The 16843-nt window shown below is 38.2% G+C and overlaps 2 long non-coding RNA genes across 5 annotated transcripts in view, besides 1 other annotated feature; one reads left to right on the top strand and one right to left on the bottom strand.

Annotated features, from left to right (window-relative positions):
* LINC02523 (long intergenic non-protein coding RNA 2523) overlaps nucleotides 1–11052 on the bottom strand; it is a 45866-nt gene extending 34814 nt beyond the window's left edge. Inside the window, exons 1-3 of the long non-coding RNA NR_038906.1 lie at nucleotides 10930–11052; nucleotides 2988–3028; nucleotides 1726–1763 (exon numbers count right to left, since the gene is read on the bottom strand). This is a non-coding gene — a long non-coding RNA (long intergenic non-protein coding RNA 2523). The remainder of the gene's footprint in view (nucleotides 1–1725; nucleotides 1764–2987; nucleotides 3029–10929) is intronic.
* The window catches only part of HEY2-AS1 (HEY2 antisense RNA 1), a 171898-nt gene that overhangs the window by 64021 nt on the left and 91034 nt on the right, over nucleotides 1–16843 (top strand). The window lies entirely within an intron of this gene.
* Nucleotides 14241–14951: an enhancer, noted in NCBI's record as "OCT4-NANOG hESC enhancer chr6:125991600-125992310 (GRCh37/hg19 assembly coordinates)". NCBI's record gives its function as "activates a minimal SCP1, AML or CMV promoter by ChIP-STARR-seq in primed H9 embryonic stem cells {active_cell/tissue: H9 hESC(primed)}" and the evidence as "EXISTENCE:reporter gene assay evidence [ECO:0000049][PMID:30033119]".

Genomic DNA, 16843 nt, shown 5'->3' with positions numbered 1-16843 from the left:
GATCTTCTGTCTAGTTTTTCTCTCCACTATTGAAAGTGGAGTATTGAAGTCTGCAACTCTTATTGTTGAATTGTCTGTTTCTGTCTTCAATTCTAAAAGTTTTTACTCCATGTATTGTAGGACTTTGTTGTTAGAGGCATATATATTTACAATTGTACAGATTCAGATTAAGACGGCATCAAATCATGCAAGATGAAACAGTCATATATGGGCTCATATAATATTAAAACTGGTGCCCTCCTTAACCTTTATTTAGTCACCTTCCAGATGAGAAAAAACTAAGATACACAAAAATTAAATGACTTTCCAAAGTGGTAAAGCCAGTAGTTATTACTAGAGGCAGGATTAAAATTAAGGTCTCTTGACTCACAATCAGACACCCATCTCTACTAGGGCCCAATAGCAGCCAGGAGCTGTTTTTTTGAACAGTATACATATATTGCCTTATTATTAAGCATATAAATTAATCTTTTTAGGGTTAAAGAGACAGATGAAAAATTATTTGTCAAATTTTCCTAAAATGAAAAGTTTCATGTAAATATGCAAGTTTTAAATCAAAATTACATGGAAAAGAAATGTGGCTGAATGATAACAATGGATTTTTGTTCCTAATGGAAAATCTGAATTTTAAAAACAGTAAATGAAAGATGAAACCAAGACTAAATTGTAATAACTAGCTCTTATATTCCAGCCATATTATGTTAAGAAGGATTTTAACCTAAAATATTTTTTTTCAACTTATTGTCACTCATTGATATGAGTTAATGGTTTCTTTTTTGGTTACTTGTTTGTTTTCAACAAAACTTAAGAAGTAAGATCTTTGAAATGTGGATCAGCAAAAGCCAACTAATTCAAATTTAGAGATAAGCTTTTCTACTGGGGGAAAAAAGACAAAAACAAAGAAACAGATGTAGCAATAAGTATTGAAGTAACATTAATTTTCGGTTTTGACTAATGTAGCTGTGAGATTCTCCTCTTTCTTAAAATTTACCTTATTCATTTTCAATGGTCTGTGACTTCAATTAAATGCATTAAAATTCATAGTGATTTAAATCCCAAATACACTTACTCCTGTTTATTTTCATAGTAACTTAAATATAGTTGACTGGGGATGGCTGGGGATTTTTTTTTCCTATTCTATGTCAAGTGGCCTTTGTCTTAGTCAGCTTGGGATGCTATAGTAAAATATCGTAGAGTGAATGGCTTAAACAACAGACATTCATTTCTCACAGTTCTGGAGACTGGGAAGTCTAAGATCAAGGTCCTGGCAGATTTGGTTCCTGGCCAGAGCTCTCTTCCTGACTTGAAGACAAACTATCTTCTCATGGTGTCTTCACTTGGCAGAGAGAGCTCTGGTCTCTTCTTCTTCTTGGAAGTACACTAGTCTTATCATGGGAGACTCAGCTTCATCTAAACCTAATTTCCTCCCAAAGTCTCCATATCCAAATACCATCACATTGGGGGTTAAAGCTTCAGCATACAAATTTAGGAGGAATACAACCATTCAGTCCATAACATCCTCTTTCTTGAGAGGTGTGGATTTCAACTAGAGTCAGTCATACTTCATGCATGCTTCATAGTTATATTTTTATCTAATTATACCTTTTCTTTATAACCTGTTTCTATTCTTAAGGACATGATGCAGACTTGAGTTTTTCAAAGTTCATCAATATTTTTATAATCCTTTGCCTTTGTGAACTCTCAGTTTTTGCCTGAGTGACTTACTTGTGATTGTCCTCCTTCTGGTGACCATTTGTAAGAACCTGAGTGAAGAACAAGAAAGTCTAGTAAACCCAGGACTTGTTGGAAGATCTGGCTGAGATTAAGGATCCATGTAAATAAAGGATTATTCTTCATTTGCTCAACAAATATTAAAAGAACTCCTACTGTATTGCCAGACACTGTTCAACAGTTAAGACAAAAAAAAAAAAAAGACAAAGGTTCTGGCCTCATGGAGCTCACATTCTAGTAAAGGAGAAAAGAATAAAGAAAAAAGTGAACAAATATGTGTGTCCTATTTTAATAAGTTCTAAGAATAATAATAAAGCACATCAGGGATAATATTTAATAACATTTAAATAGATACATGGTCAGGGAAGGCCTTTCTGATAAAAAGTCATTTATCTGAAACATAAATAAAAAGTGATTTTTCTCTATGAACTTCTTGAGATGAAAAAGCAGGCCTTTGAGCTAGGAGTGTGCTGGGTGAGTTAAAGGAGCAACAAGGACCCAGTCTGACAGGAAATGGAAGGGGCAAGCCAGCAGGCAAGGGCAGAGGGTTAACAGGGCCAGGTCAGTTAGAGCTTTGCAGCCCATGGTAAGAACTCTCATTTCATCTGAGTTGGGTGGGAACTGTTGGAAATTTTCAGCAGAGGAGTGACAAGATCCAACTTAGGCTTTAAAAGGATCAGCTGGCTTTTGTGTGGAAAACACAATGTAGGGGGACAGAGTTAGAAGTGAAAAGACAATTTCTAATTTAGAAAACCATGTCATATTCCAGGCAAGTTATGGTGCTGGTTTGGACAATGGTGGCAGCAGGGTTCTAGTAAAGAGAAAGGAAATAGCAAGTGCAGTATGTTTGGGATTGTGAGATGGAAATGGCGGGGCTAAGTGACTTTTCTTGCCACTTTTCTTTTTAATTATGTATAGAATCTAGAGGAACAGTGTAAAGATTTACACTAAAATGAACTCTTGAGTATTCATTACCCAGATTAAGAAATAAAAATATTGCCAATACCTTGAAAGCCTTTGTGATCACCTCCTCAATTACATTCTTCTCCTGTCTGCCAGGTGTAACCATCATCCTGCCTTGTTTTGGTAAATCTTTTGTGCTTCTTTATGGATTCACAAGTGACAAATATATTCCTACATGATATATATATATGGCTTAGTTTTGAAAAACTCTGTAGCAAGCACAAACCTACCTTTGAGAAAAAAGATGAGAGAGGGTTCTCGGAGAAGATGACTGAACAGAATTGTATACTCACAATCTGGCTTCAGCTCCTCTGAAAGTTTGTAAGATGTCCATCTGGGGAAGTAATCAGGCAAGATCTTGAGCAAATCTTGGGAAACATTGGGCTGGTATACCAGATTTGGGCCAGCAAGCCGGATTGTTTCATGGGCTATGTACCTATCTAGGAGTAAAATTATAGAGGAGTGAATTGTTCTGTAGTTTCTTCTTCTCAGCTTATCACTGCTACTAAGCTTCTAAGCCTACCTCCTGCTCTCAGGAGCAGATCTAAGTGGCACACGTCTGTGGAGTGAACTGTGTGTTCTCAGCTGATCTAATTCAGCTGAGACCATAAATTCAGCAGGTGGTTAAGACAAGCCAAATACAAATAAAAGCCTGGGCTGGCTCACCCAGGCATTTTCAACTCATGATAAAAAGGAGATAGATACATGGCAGAGGTGTCTTGATGATAAAGTCTTCAATGTGCTTGTGTATCTTGAGTCAGTCTCTTTCCAATCTTAACTAATTTCTTTCTCTTTCTGGAACAGCTGTCATCCTGGGATCTCCCTTCACCATACTTCTTGGGAGTTCCTAGAATTTTATCCTGTCCCCTGCATCCCATGGTTTTTGAGGTTTGGGCTTAAATCTATCATTATTATCCTTTTATAGAGTCAATAATCATTTAGATTAACTTCCATATATACCAAATTTGATGCTCCTTATTCCTTCCTGTATCTTCATCTTTGCATCTAGGACCACTCTCCTTTTGTGTAAAGAACACCCTTTGGGCCGGGCATGGTGGCTCACACCTGTAATCCCAGTACTTTGGGAGGCCGAGGCAGATGGATCACCTGAGGTGAGGAGTTCGAGACCAGCCTGGTCAACGTGGTGAAACCACATCTCTACTAAAATTACAAACATTAGCTGGGCGTGGTGGCGGGTGCCAGTAGTCCCAGCTGCTCTGGAGGCTGAGGAAGGAGAATCACTTGAACCCGGGTGGCAGAGGTTACAGTGACCTGAGATCATGCCATTGCACTCCAGCCTGGGCGACAGAGACAGACTCCGTCTTAAAAAAAAAAAAACCAAAAAAACAAAAAAACACCCTTTGGAATTTCTTTGGTGCATGTCTGTTAGAGGTAAACTCTTCTGAGTTTCTTCTTATTATTTAAAGAATATCTTTGTTTTACCTTTATTCTGCAATAAGAATAATCATAAGAATAAATTTTTAAAAATTCATATGAAAATTTATTGAACTTTACATTCTTTCTTTCAGTGTTATTTGCATTAACCTGTTTGACCTGCATGAGTGACTCTTTTGTGCCTCTCAGCCCATCCACATTCAGCCATCTGGCTCCTCTAAAAATGGGAACTTCAGCATCTTCTCATCATTTCTACTCTCCCTCCCCTTTCCTCACTGGCTGGCCCTGTTTCATGTAGAGGTGCATGTCCTGATCTTCTAGATTTTCTGGGCCATCTGTTTCTCTTGCCTTCGGACCTCATTTTACATTCTCCTCCCTAGTGTTCCTGGTTAGGCTCGTGTCTCCATCCTTGACTGCTACCCAAGTTCCCTTCCAGCTATGCTGCCATCCAGCCACCCTGGATAAATTTCTTTCCAAGTGTGGCTTGAACCCTTGAAGCTCTGACTTCAGAACAATTTCTGTGGGTACAACTTCTGGTAGATTGGTTCAAAAATTAAAACTCTACTGACAACACATTTAATAGAAAAAGGGACAGAGAGGAAGTTGAGGAGCTCTCTCAAAATTTATCAAGGTTGAAATGTAAACATTACTTAGAAGGATCCAGTGAAAGTTCCAACGTATGCACAATAAACTTTGGTTAAGTAGATATAAATTTTACCTCAAAAGTTTAAGTGATTTCCCTGTATTGGGGGTTTAGTACAATGTTTTATGATTTTTAAGTCTCACTGAAAAGAAGTAAAAAAAAAATTCTCAGATAATCAGATATGATTAGACCTTGCCACTTTATTGAATTACTGGAACTAAAATGTGAGTTGCTAAAGGGAAAGAAATATTACCAAATGATTTTCACATTATTACAAATAAAATCTGGCCTAAAACATACATTTTTCAAAGCACTATTGTAACAATTGATGTTAGAACATCTCTGTTTGACTGATTGAATACTTTTAAATAAAAGTTCTAGAATCTAAATTCAAGGTAAGATTTATCCCCAGAACTGGGCTTGAATCTATTTTCTTTTTGAAAAGAGCATGCTATCAAGAAAATGACTTTTGTAACAGGTTGTGGAAAAAAAGTTGCAACTCAATTTGTGGTTCTGATTTTCTATGTGTTAGCAGGAGTTACTTTATTGGCCTGGATCTCAATTTCCCCAGCTATGAAATGGGGAGACTAATTGTTGCAAAGTATTTTAAGAACTTAAAATGAAAGATAACTATCACAGTGCAAAGAATAACCAGACATTTTACTACATTTGTCTTAATCTGATTTTGAAATTTTTGCTCTTTTTCCAGTCTCACACACACACAAAAAAAACAACATCTGCATATTTCGTCCTGTGGTGATGAATTGTAAGAAGGGATGTGGAAGTCAGCTCTGAATTTCCTTTTCTTTTGGTGTGTGTAAACCCAGTCTTTAATGTTATTGCCCTGTTATTTTTGTGGTTTCCTTTCTTCTATGTCAACTGCATTCATGTGAAGGGCTTTCTCCAAGATTAAATGTTTGCCTCATTGGCTGTATTTCTGAATTTTCATCTGCCAAACTCTTCACATGCAGACTTCATAAAGCCAAGTTTTTCCAACTGAAAATCTGACTATATCCTGGCGCCTCATTACGGTCAGAACCTTGACAGAAATCAGGCAACTGTTGTAATGCAGTATTGAATATGAATTTGAAATTGTGTTGTGGAGAGGGAGGTGGAAGAGTACAGAGAGAAAATCCTTTCCATCTAAGAGTCTCTGATTAGACAGAAAAATGGTGCCAGCAAAAAAAAAAAAAAAAAGCCTGGAGCTGCAAAAGTCAGGCAAGTTAGGTAAAGTGTGTATGTTTGGGGTATTCCTCCATTCAAGAAAGTTGCTCCACTCGTAAACTGGAGCTAGTCTGAATTTGTGAGGTTAGCGCTGCAGCTGGGAGGCTGAATCTGTGGGCTCAGTGGAATGTGCAGAATGCGTTTGATCAGTTTCCCTACTTGGGATTGAATGAGAGGGCATAAAAAGAATGTTATCAAAATAGGCTGAAAGGACTAGTCGAATTCTGGGGCTAAATCTTAGCTTGAATTTCCCTGTTGATATTATTTGCTACAGAAAAAGTGTGACTTTTTATAATTTTTGATATACAAAAAGTGCATGGAATATTTTAGTATCTCTACCAGCCTTTGCAAGTCTCCTATTATTCCCTTCCCCCTGCACCTCAAGGAATCTGACACCAGCTCTGCCATTTGGGAACATAATATGGAAATGAGTATGAAGACGGTTTTAATGACCTTATTGTGTCCTTGACAACCAAGAGATGTTAGTCAAAAATGGCTTTAAGAAAAGCAAGGATTGGAAAGCTCTCTTTTTCTTCTGAAAGAAACTTTGGTAAGAGCCTATTTATAAAGTTTATTGGCCTTATCCGTCCTTTCCTCATGTGTTCAAGGACTCCACAGATAGTTTCCCTCACAACATACCCAGGCAGTAACACAGCTGATGCCAAGAATATCCTCAAGGTTGTCGATCTTTATTCTGTGGGTGGATCACTAGCCCAAGGTCCTTGCATCGTGGGAGGAGAGACTGGGATCAAACCATAGCCCTGGTCTCAAGTAACTGTATACAAATAACTGTCAGCAGATGTCCTAAAACATATGGACAGCTAGCCGATGCAAGACATTCTTACAATAAAGAAGGAAGAAGGCAGCCATACAGCTAGGTACTTTTATTTGTGCAAAGAGTGCCCAAGGAAAGAGATTAGCCTGTTGGACACTGGAGACCCAAATCTTGAACTGACTCTGTTGCTAGCTGCTCTGGTTCTGGACAAGTCATTTAGTTGTTCTGTGTCTATGTCTACTCATTCAAAAATGATCTTGGCAATGTTTGATCTATCTAAATAGGATTATTTTGAGGATAAAGGATGATGTGAAAAGTGAAGCATTATATAAACATGTAATATTTGGCGTTGGCATTATATTAAACAAAGGCAACATAAATAATCTCTTTAAAGCAAATTTGCATTTAATAGGCTCTAATAAGGTTTGTTAAGTGAATAAGAAACTGCAGAATGCTGGAGGAGGAGGGGGTCTGGGCAGTCATTTTATAGATTGGGAAACTAAGGCTCAGAATACTTTTTTTTTTTTTTTTTGAGATGGAGACTCGCTCTGTTGCCCAGGCTGGAGGGCAATGGTGCGATGTCAGCTCACTGCAATCTCTGCCTCCCAGGTTCAAGTGATTCTTCTGCCTCAGCCTCCCCAGGAACTGGGATTACAGCGCCCGCCACCATGCCTGGCTAATTTTTGTATTTTCAGTACAGACCGGGTTTCACCATGTTGGTCAGGCTGGTCTTGAACTTCTGACCTCAAGCGATCCACCTGCCTCAGCCTCCCAAAGTGCTGGGATTACAGGCGTGAGCCACTGCACCCTGCCAAGGCTCAGAATACTTAAGTGACTTAAGTGGCTATCCTAACTTGTTCACGGCAGGGCCCCCATCATGTTCCCATGTCCTGATTCCTAGTCTGTTGCTCTGATAGATCTCATTGCCTCTCTTAGGGACTTGTATGGTTGCTTATATCCTAGCTGCAGAATTAAACAAGAGGAAATCTAGCTATAGGTAATATCTTTTAAAGATTTTAAAATTACCTACATGAGCCATTTTAAACTTTCTTAATCTGTTTTTTTTTTTCTACAGCTCTGTTCCCAGAGAAATACTATAAATACAGGCATGAAGAAACAAACATTAACTATAAATTAATTGTTATTTACATTTCAAAAAGTTGTGAAAGGTTTCTGGAGCTCCCCAAGATTCATCCAAGTTGGCTTCTAAAAATATTTTCCTATAGTTCTAAAATATTTTCCTAAAATTGTAAACGTAATTACAGGTATAATGGGAGGGACAAAGATTATTTCAAACTTTTCTCCTTAGTTTCTTCCTAATTAAAAAATAACTTAGAGTATAAAGTTTGTTCAACAATACAATGTTTATTATCTAAAAATATTGATGTAACATTAAAAGATATTGGTAAGAGCTGAGTAAGGTAGAACATGCCTGCGGTCTCATATTCTTGGAAGGGTGAGGTGGGAGGAGCACTTGAGTCCAGGAATTCAAGTCCAGCCTGGGCAATGTAGTGAGGGTCTGTCTCAAAAAAAAAAAAAGCATTTTCAGTTAGGTTTATTCTAAATTCAGGAGAACCAAATCCAGTTTAAACCCATCGCTGATAAAAATTCATCTTATTAACCCTTTAGCTCAATTCATCATATGTCAGTTTTGATTCTTGATCATGAGGGGATTTCAGCACACAGTAGTAATGATTCCTCGGTCCTATTCCAACTACACTTAAGGATTTGTTTTTTGCTCCATGACTTAGTATCATGTGACACTGAAAAATTAGGAAAATAATCCACAGAAAGAGGCAAATATATTTACCTTAATTGAAGAGGAGCCGTGATATGTATACAACATAAAAGTAAATATCTTATTCATTTAAGTACACTTAGGTTTTTTTTGTTACTGACTAGAAATAATTAAAAATCTTGACCTCCTAAGAAATTTGTTGAGGGAGAGAGAAACTAGCTCTCTCAAATCAGGGGGAAAAAATCCAAACAACCAAGCTAGAAATATTGGAATTTCTTTAAAGTTCTGAGGGAAAACATACAATATAACATTTATAGCCATCTTTACATTGTTCAAAGTATTGCTTCTTGGATGGATCTGTCTCAGGCATGAAGTGAGTTCAACACCATAACTCCCTTTTGGTGTGGCAAGAACAGAAGAAAAAATGAACAGTTCTCACAAAGGCACTTCAAAAATGAGGATCATAGGATAGTGGTGTTTATTTAAAAGTTTACATATTCTGAGCCCTTTTAAAAACAAGATGAACCAGTAATGTTTTGTCTGTGCTGTTACTGAAATCTACAGTTTAAGAACTGAGCCTATGACCTGTGGGCTTCTAAGATCCTATTCAGCCAAGGTGAGCACTCTCAAGGGAACAATTCCTTATACTTGGCTTTCACTTTTATCTGGAAAATCAAGGCTGGGGCCATAACACAGCAGTTGTGGCAAACGGTGTCTAGATGGTCACTATCCACTATTCCCTAATTGACTGAGGCTCTTGGAGTCTTAGGAATGTAGAAGCAGTGATGAAGGTGAATAACTAGCAACAGCTTTGAGACATTCCCACAGTTTTCTTGGATGGCTGCTAGAACCAGACTCCAGAGACAATAAACAAAAAACTGGTAGTAAAATGGGAGGAGATAATGTTCTGAGCTAAATACAGTCTGAAAGACTCCATGTCTAGAAATAGGGTTTTATATGCCACTCAGGAGTTCTTTGGATCTCTTTTTGAAAAATGAACTCATCGTCTAGCATTTGAGGCACTTGTTCTTTGAGCCAATTTAGGTCTGCCTTGAAGTTCTCCCATTCTCTCTGATGGATAGCTCTCTGATCTTTATTGAAGATCAAGGCAGTGAGGAAATAGGGTTGACTATGGTATACAGAGCTTGAACGAGAAATAAAGTTAGAACATGGGTTGCCAGAGCCAGGCATGCAATCTATGCTTGCAGGTGAGGAGACACCAAGATCTCATTACATGGATGGTTTGCATATTTGGAAGGGAAAGCAAGAATAACTGACATGGGAAGGAAAGGCAAATCTAGAGAAAAGAGTAAATGCTTGGAATTGCTTCTGGGAGTGAGGACCACCAATTCATGGTAAACTGTCTTACCCTCTTGAGTTAAGTTGCTCTAATTAAGCTTCCAGAACAGAAGGTGTTGAAGGAGTTAGAAACTAGATCACCAAGGTTTTCTTGTTGTTTAACCTGATTTGCATGACCTCTAGAAGATATGTTTAGCATTACAAGCCTCTATGAATAGATATTTTGTCCATTTTTCCTGAAAAGGGGTGTTATAGTTTGGGTTCCCAGGAATCAGACTCTGATACACTGAGATTTGTGTACAGTGGGTGTGTTGGGAAGGGTTCTTGGCAACAATATCTTTGAGGGGTAAAGAATGCAAGATTAGGCAGAGAAGAAGCTGGATTACAAAGATGTTGCAATAAAAGTCTTAGCTATTCCTATGGGGAGTGCTGGAGCTGGGGTAGTCCTTGGGCCGAGGACGTCAGTTCTTTATAAAAATCAGTCACCAGATGAGCAAGTAAAGGATTTTTATCCCTATTGGGCAGATAAAGAAACAGGCACAGGGTTGAAAACTAACTGCCCAAAGTCACATAACTTTTAAGAGGAATAGCTGCAGGTTATTTCTGCTGAGGCCCAACTCCAGACACATGGTTGAGCCAGATAATACATCACCCCTGGCAGAGGGGTACAGGATATGGTCTCCCATCGAACAGTGACCTAAGTAAAATAAATGTGCCTCTGAATTTCTGTAAAATTTAAATGTGCATATCTTTTGGTTTTGCATAATATAGAAAATTTTATATATTTAATAAAAAATTATTTTTGACTGGTAAAATTTTCAAACAATTTTTTTGACACCAAGATTTTGTCTTTTGACTTATAGCTTAATGGTAACTTCAGAATAATACTCTTCTTAGATCTCATGTTAGCTGACCTTTTCTTAAAAATAGATCAGAAGACCATCTCAATGTGCTAAATACTGTCCCTTGAATTAAAGTACACCAAAATAATAAATGTTGTGTAACTTTTATAGTTTATAGAGTTCTCCACATAATCCACACAGTGTGGGTTTGAGGTAATGTTGCCAGAGCATAAATGTGAAATCCATGGCTGTGAAAAGTTGTGAGATTTGCCTGAGGTTACAGTCATTGCAGGTGATCCCGGCCTCCTGTACACCTTACCTGGGTCTGCATGTCCCATGTGCTCCATACGCTGCCTCACTCCAGCGAACATTCCGCGATGGCTCTGTATCCAAGAAGTAGGGTGTTGTACTTATGAATCAATGGAAGGACCAAGGCCCCTGTGCTTTCAGTGTGAGAGGAGCAGCCAAAACCACTGCAAAGAGGGGTTGGAAATCTGATCTCCCATGAGAGCTGAGGAAAAAAATTGCTTCTGGAAAGGGATGAAAGGTTTTAATATAACTCATTATCTGTTTTCTTTGGATGAACTTTCTGCTATTAGTCAACGTGATTTGGGCTTGGATACCACATTAGAACCGGTAACAGAAAATATTGATCCTACAACTTGTGAGAAGCCTGAAATGGGTATGAGTTTATCTCAACACTTCCATAAATGGCAACTTGCATTCCAGTTATTTGAAACTTTCTTTATTATTATTATTTGAAAGGGATCCAGCTAAAACATAATTTGTTTGGATTCTTGGGTCAACGATTTTACTTCTACTGGCAAAAAATATACTACATAAAATGGCTATGTATATTTTTCTTAACTTTCCTTTCCTTTTTGGTCACTTAGCCAGAGTGAGGTCCTGGAGAATATTCTGCACATGCTTTAGTGTGGGGAAAATGAGTGTATGTGTGAGAGACAGAGCAAGTAAAGGGAGCTGGCTGCATCTCAATGTGTTAGATAACGATGAGCTTGGCTTGTTAAATAGACCAAACCTGTGAGGAACAGCTCTGAAAGTGTTTGGCTAGGGTTTGCTCTCACAGCGCTTAGTAACACTAATAGTGCTAATAACACTTAATAGCACTTCGTAATACTGCTTAATAAGTGTGATGTAGTGATGTGTGTATCAACTAGTAAGTGTTGGAAGATGACTTCCTGGAGATAGTGGTCGAGACCATGGCAGCACCCAGACTCCTTGTCCTCCAGAGTGGTTGTCATGGAAAGTGCCACAAGGCTGCAGTACACTGCTAGGTGGGTCTAACCTCTGGTCAGGCCAGGGTAGTGCCACTTTTGTTGGGGACAATGACCAAAGTTGTGTTGCTGCCAATAATAAAGATAGACATTTTTAGAGCAGATGAACAGGACAAGAAAAGATGATGGACAGTTCCTAGGTTCTCTATGGTTACAATGAAAGCAGTTTTGTATAGAGTTGAAATGTCCATGGGTATACAAAAAAATTTACTAAGTGTTGTCAACGAGTGAAAGCACTAATTATAACAACTTGGGAAATAAAATACCAGTGTTAGAAGTCTTATCATATGACAATTGTAGTAATTTTAAAGAGAATTAACAGGTTTTGGGGCTTGAGGGTTACAGAAAATATTCAGGGCTGAATCCAATAATTGGGTTGCAGGTGTTAGTGCTGAAAACCTTAAAAATGTTCATAAACTTGATTGAGCAGTTGCTTCTGGGAATTAATCCTAAATAAATAATGAAGAATACATGCAAACAACTACAAGAATTGTCTTTGAAACTTGTTTATATTAGTTAAAAATTGGAACAACGAAATGTTGAAAACCAGAGATTTGTTAAATAGGTTATGATATAATAGAATCTCATTTAGTCATTAAATATGATGAGATAGAAATATGCCTAGCTGGGTGTGATGGCTCTCGCCTATAATCCCAGCACTTTGAGAGGCTGAGGTGGGTGGATTATTTGAGCCTAGGAGTTCAAGACTAGCCTGGGCAGCATGGCAAAACCCTGTCTCTACAAAAAATGCAAAAATTAGCTGGATGTGGTGGTGTGCATCTGTGGTCCCAGCTACTCGGGAGGTGAGGTAGGAGGATCATTTGAACCTGGGAGGCAGAGAGTAGTGAGCCGAGATCCCACCATTGCACTCCAACTTGGGCAACAGAGCAAAACCCTTTCAAAAAAAAAAAAAGGCTTAGTATCTGGGGTGACAAGAAATCTGTACCACAAATTCCTGAGACATGATTTTACCTGCATAACAAACCTGCACATGTATTCCTGAACCTAAAATAAAAGTTGAAAGAATAATAAGGAGAAATATGCCTGCTTACATGTTACATACATATGCCTTATAAATAACTTTGAGATATTTCAAACTCACCAAAAACTTGAAGGAATGGTGCAGTGAATATGTGTTAACAACATGTCTCTGTGGATAGGTTCTTCTTTTTGGCCCAGCCTTCTGAAAGTAGTGTACCAATGTCATGAAATTTCACCTCTTAATACTTCATTTGGCACTCCTTTCAAGAGTAAGAGTATTCTCTCTCACAACACCATTACCACACCTAAGAAAATAATCATGGATTCAATAAGATCATTTGCAAACATACTTAAATTGTCCTAAAATATTCCTTATAGCTTTTTTTTTCTGATTCAAATTCCAATGAAATTTTACTCATGACGTTAACTATTATATATCCTTAGTAGCTCTCAATCTTTGAAAACTGTCTCCTCTATTCTTTGATGACTTCAAATCCTTTGGGAAGTCCAGGATAACCATTATGCAGAATGCCCAACATCTTGGATTAGCTTGTTTCATCATGATTAGAATTGGTTAAACATTTTAGGCAAGAACACTTAATAGGCGATGTGCATACTTCTCACTACATTGCATCAGGAAGCATATAGTATCAGGCCACCAAATTACTGGCAAAGTCAAGCTTCGCTGGCTGGAGGATAACAGATGCTTTTATTATAAAGGCACATTTTCCCCTTTATAATTAAAAATAGGTGATATTTTGCAATGTAGATGTACATTTTTCAACATAGAAAATTATGTTCTATTAAGTATAGATAGAAAATTACAAATTGTAGGCAGCTTAATTTTGTTAAAATGATATATATATACATACACACAGGGCAAGGTTTGGAAGAATATATATCCCAAATCATTTACAGTGGTTATGTCAAGATAGTGTGATTATATGTGAGTTTAATTTTGTCTTTTTTATTTGATTATTTTCCTTCTTTTTATGATGACTCTACATAATTTACATTATTTTCAAAGTGAATAGAATGAATTGGCTGTGGCTGATGTGTTATACTCTATTTTAGATAAGTGAATATGGTATATTTGTTTTCATTGTGTCCCTTCCCTGCTTTGGTGACACTAACGTTGAAGAGGTTGTCTGCAGGGCTGAAGTTATTCTCATTTTAATGCCAGGTCCTACTGGGCATATTTCTCTAGGAGAAAACAGTTACATTAATTCAAGGGTGGAATTCTCACACTGGTCTTCTCTCCAGAATTTTCAACACATTTATTTTAATAAGTGCAGTGTAAAAGTGACACAATTTAAAATAAAGTCATCACAGAATTTAAAGCACTTGTTTGCTTCTTGCTCCAGGATGTGTAAAAAATGTCTTAATTCTGAGCAGCATTTTTGCATTTTGCCTCCAAAAGTGAATATATTATGATTATGACCTACAGTGACTTGACCTCTTTGCAGATGTCTTCTGGTAATTTCAGTAAAGGAAGTAAACTTTATTCAGCACAGTCACAGATCTCTTGAGTCAAGGAGATGGGAACTTAGGCTCATCTTGTCTGCTGACACCTAAATGTATGCCAGGTAGTAGGGCAACCAAAGACCAGAGGCATAGTATCTGGGACAAGGCTAGGAAACCATGTTGGCTAAATGACAGAGTTGAAGACGGCCAGATCACAGCCTCTGGCTGCCTTTGTTATGGATACCAGCCTGTTGTTGCTGGAAGCAAAGGCTGCCACAGGCTTTCAGTGGAAGCTGACCAGGCAGGAGGAAATAATGTTGGGTTCTCTCCTTGGGGAAAGCTTCGTTTCATCACTCGGAAGGCAGACAAGCTGGTGCAAAAGGAAACCCACACCTAGTAACTGATACACAGCAGTGACGTCCTGCTGGGAGATCTGAAGAACAGGGCAAGATGGAATTTTGCATTCCATTAACTGTAAGCAGGACGTGAGGGATTAAAGGGGACTTGGAGTGCGCAGCACAAAGCTAAAAATTATTTACTAGCCTGAAGAACTTAAGACAGTATCATTAGTATGTATTTGTAAGAGTAAACCCTCTGATATATTTCTGGAAAATATAATAAGGCTGGCTCCAGGCAAAACTGGTGAATGGGTGGTGTAATTTTATGATACGCTACTTCTATTTCAATACTTATCTGTACCAACCCTGGCATCCCATTTTCTTACTGCTATATTCTTTTCCACTGAAGAATCTGCTCTCAATTTTATACCTTTGAATTCAGGTAGTAAACTTGCCCTTGTAATCCTTGGAACTGAAATAACTCTAAACTAAGCATCAGAAGACTGGGCTCAAGTTTCAATTCCTTCACATACTGGTTACATGAACTTGATCGGACCTGTTAACTTCTCCGAGCCTCAGTTTTATCATCTGTAGATGGGAATCATAAACTGATATGTAACTTAGGTCTCCCTGTATAGAGAGAAGAGAAGAAGATGGGAACTAATGCTTGTTGAACGTCTCCCACATGCCAGGCTCTGTGCTGAAATAACTTGTGCAGCAGTGGTCTCTGTTTGAGCCCAGGCTACAGTCACCATTTGGAGTCTGGAATGTCCATGCATGTCTGGTGCCCTGGCAAGATGGACCTTCCAGCGTTTGAGGGAACTAAGAAGCATCCTTGAAGAGAAGTTATCTCAAAGGAAGAACAAATTCAACAGACAAGCTTAGTTCTATAATACCTTATTAGCAGGGAAGAGTTTCTGAGTAAAGCATAGTGTTTGTCACTTACAACATTCATGAGTCCAGACTCTCATGGATTTACATCTGAAGCCTATGAATAAATGGAGCTATAAATGAAAAAAAAAAAAACCTCGTAAAAACAAAGCTTTATAAGAAACCAGGGAGCAAACAGCACTGCTTTCACACCTTTGTGGAAAAACATAATGCTAGAGGAAGAGTTGCATTCCCTCTGTGGTAGTTTATATACAAGATGGCTACCATCAATTCTTTCTATTCTTACATGTCATTCCCCAGCCAAGAAGTGGAATCTATTTCTCCAATTCCTTTGAAACTGGACTGACTTTAGTGACTTGTTTGACTACTGGAACTAAATAGAAGTAATTTTCAGGGATTTCTGAGCCTTACTCATAAGAAGCCTCGAAGCTTCCATTTGAGTCTCTTGGGATGATTTTTTCTCTGAATTCTAAGTACCATGTAAGAAGTCCAACTACTCAAGATCATCATTCATGAAAAGTCCAAACCATATGGATAGGCCCTGGAGGCTGAGACAGCATGTGGAGAGAGAGATAGGCCAAGGAGCACTGAAGCATCAGACATTTTAACAGCCAATAATGACAGAAGAAGAGTCTCAATTCCCAGCTGCCCAACGGGGATGGCACTGGGATCAGAGATGAGCCACCAAGCCCAGCTCTCCTCACAAAGAGTAATAAACAAAACATTACAGTCATGTAAAGTCACTAAGTGGCTTTAAAAAGAAGAGAAGACCACATGTGTGCAAGTCCTGCAAGTGTTCTAAAAATCGTGTCTGAGAGCTATTTTGTAAAATAAAACAAATTTCAAAGGTTATTTCTGCGAAATAATAGAAAAATTTTATGGATGGAAATGAGGGGATGGTTAAGGTTGGTCACTCATGGGAGAGAACAAGCAGACCGTTGTTTAGTTGGCTATGAACATTTTAACCATGACCTGCCTTCTGGTCATGCTTGGGCTCCCATAGGAAGAAATTTCAAATTAAGTCATGGGGCAGATGGTATCTCGGAGGCCTGTGGATGAGCTTTCATAGATTCCCTCAGTCGGAGTTCAAATCAAGAAGGCTTTGAGAGAACCTGCTCCTTCATGTCCAGAATTGGCCCTGGCATCCCAAGTTATATTGGACTGGGTTATGTTGAAATGGCTTCAGGGTATGGACACAAAGAATCTCTGGGGCAACAGACAAAGTCAATATATACCTATGAATTATGTTATTTGTTCAGAATAA

Source organism: Homo sapiens, chromosome 6, assembly GCF_000001405.40.
Source record: "Homo sapiens chromosome 6, GRCh38.p14 Primary Assembly".
Lineage (NCBI taxonomy): Eukaryota > Metazoa > Chordata > Mammalia > Primates > Hominidae > Homo > Homo sapiens.
This window is presented reverse-complemented; position numbering and strand designations above follow the sequence as displayed.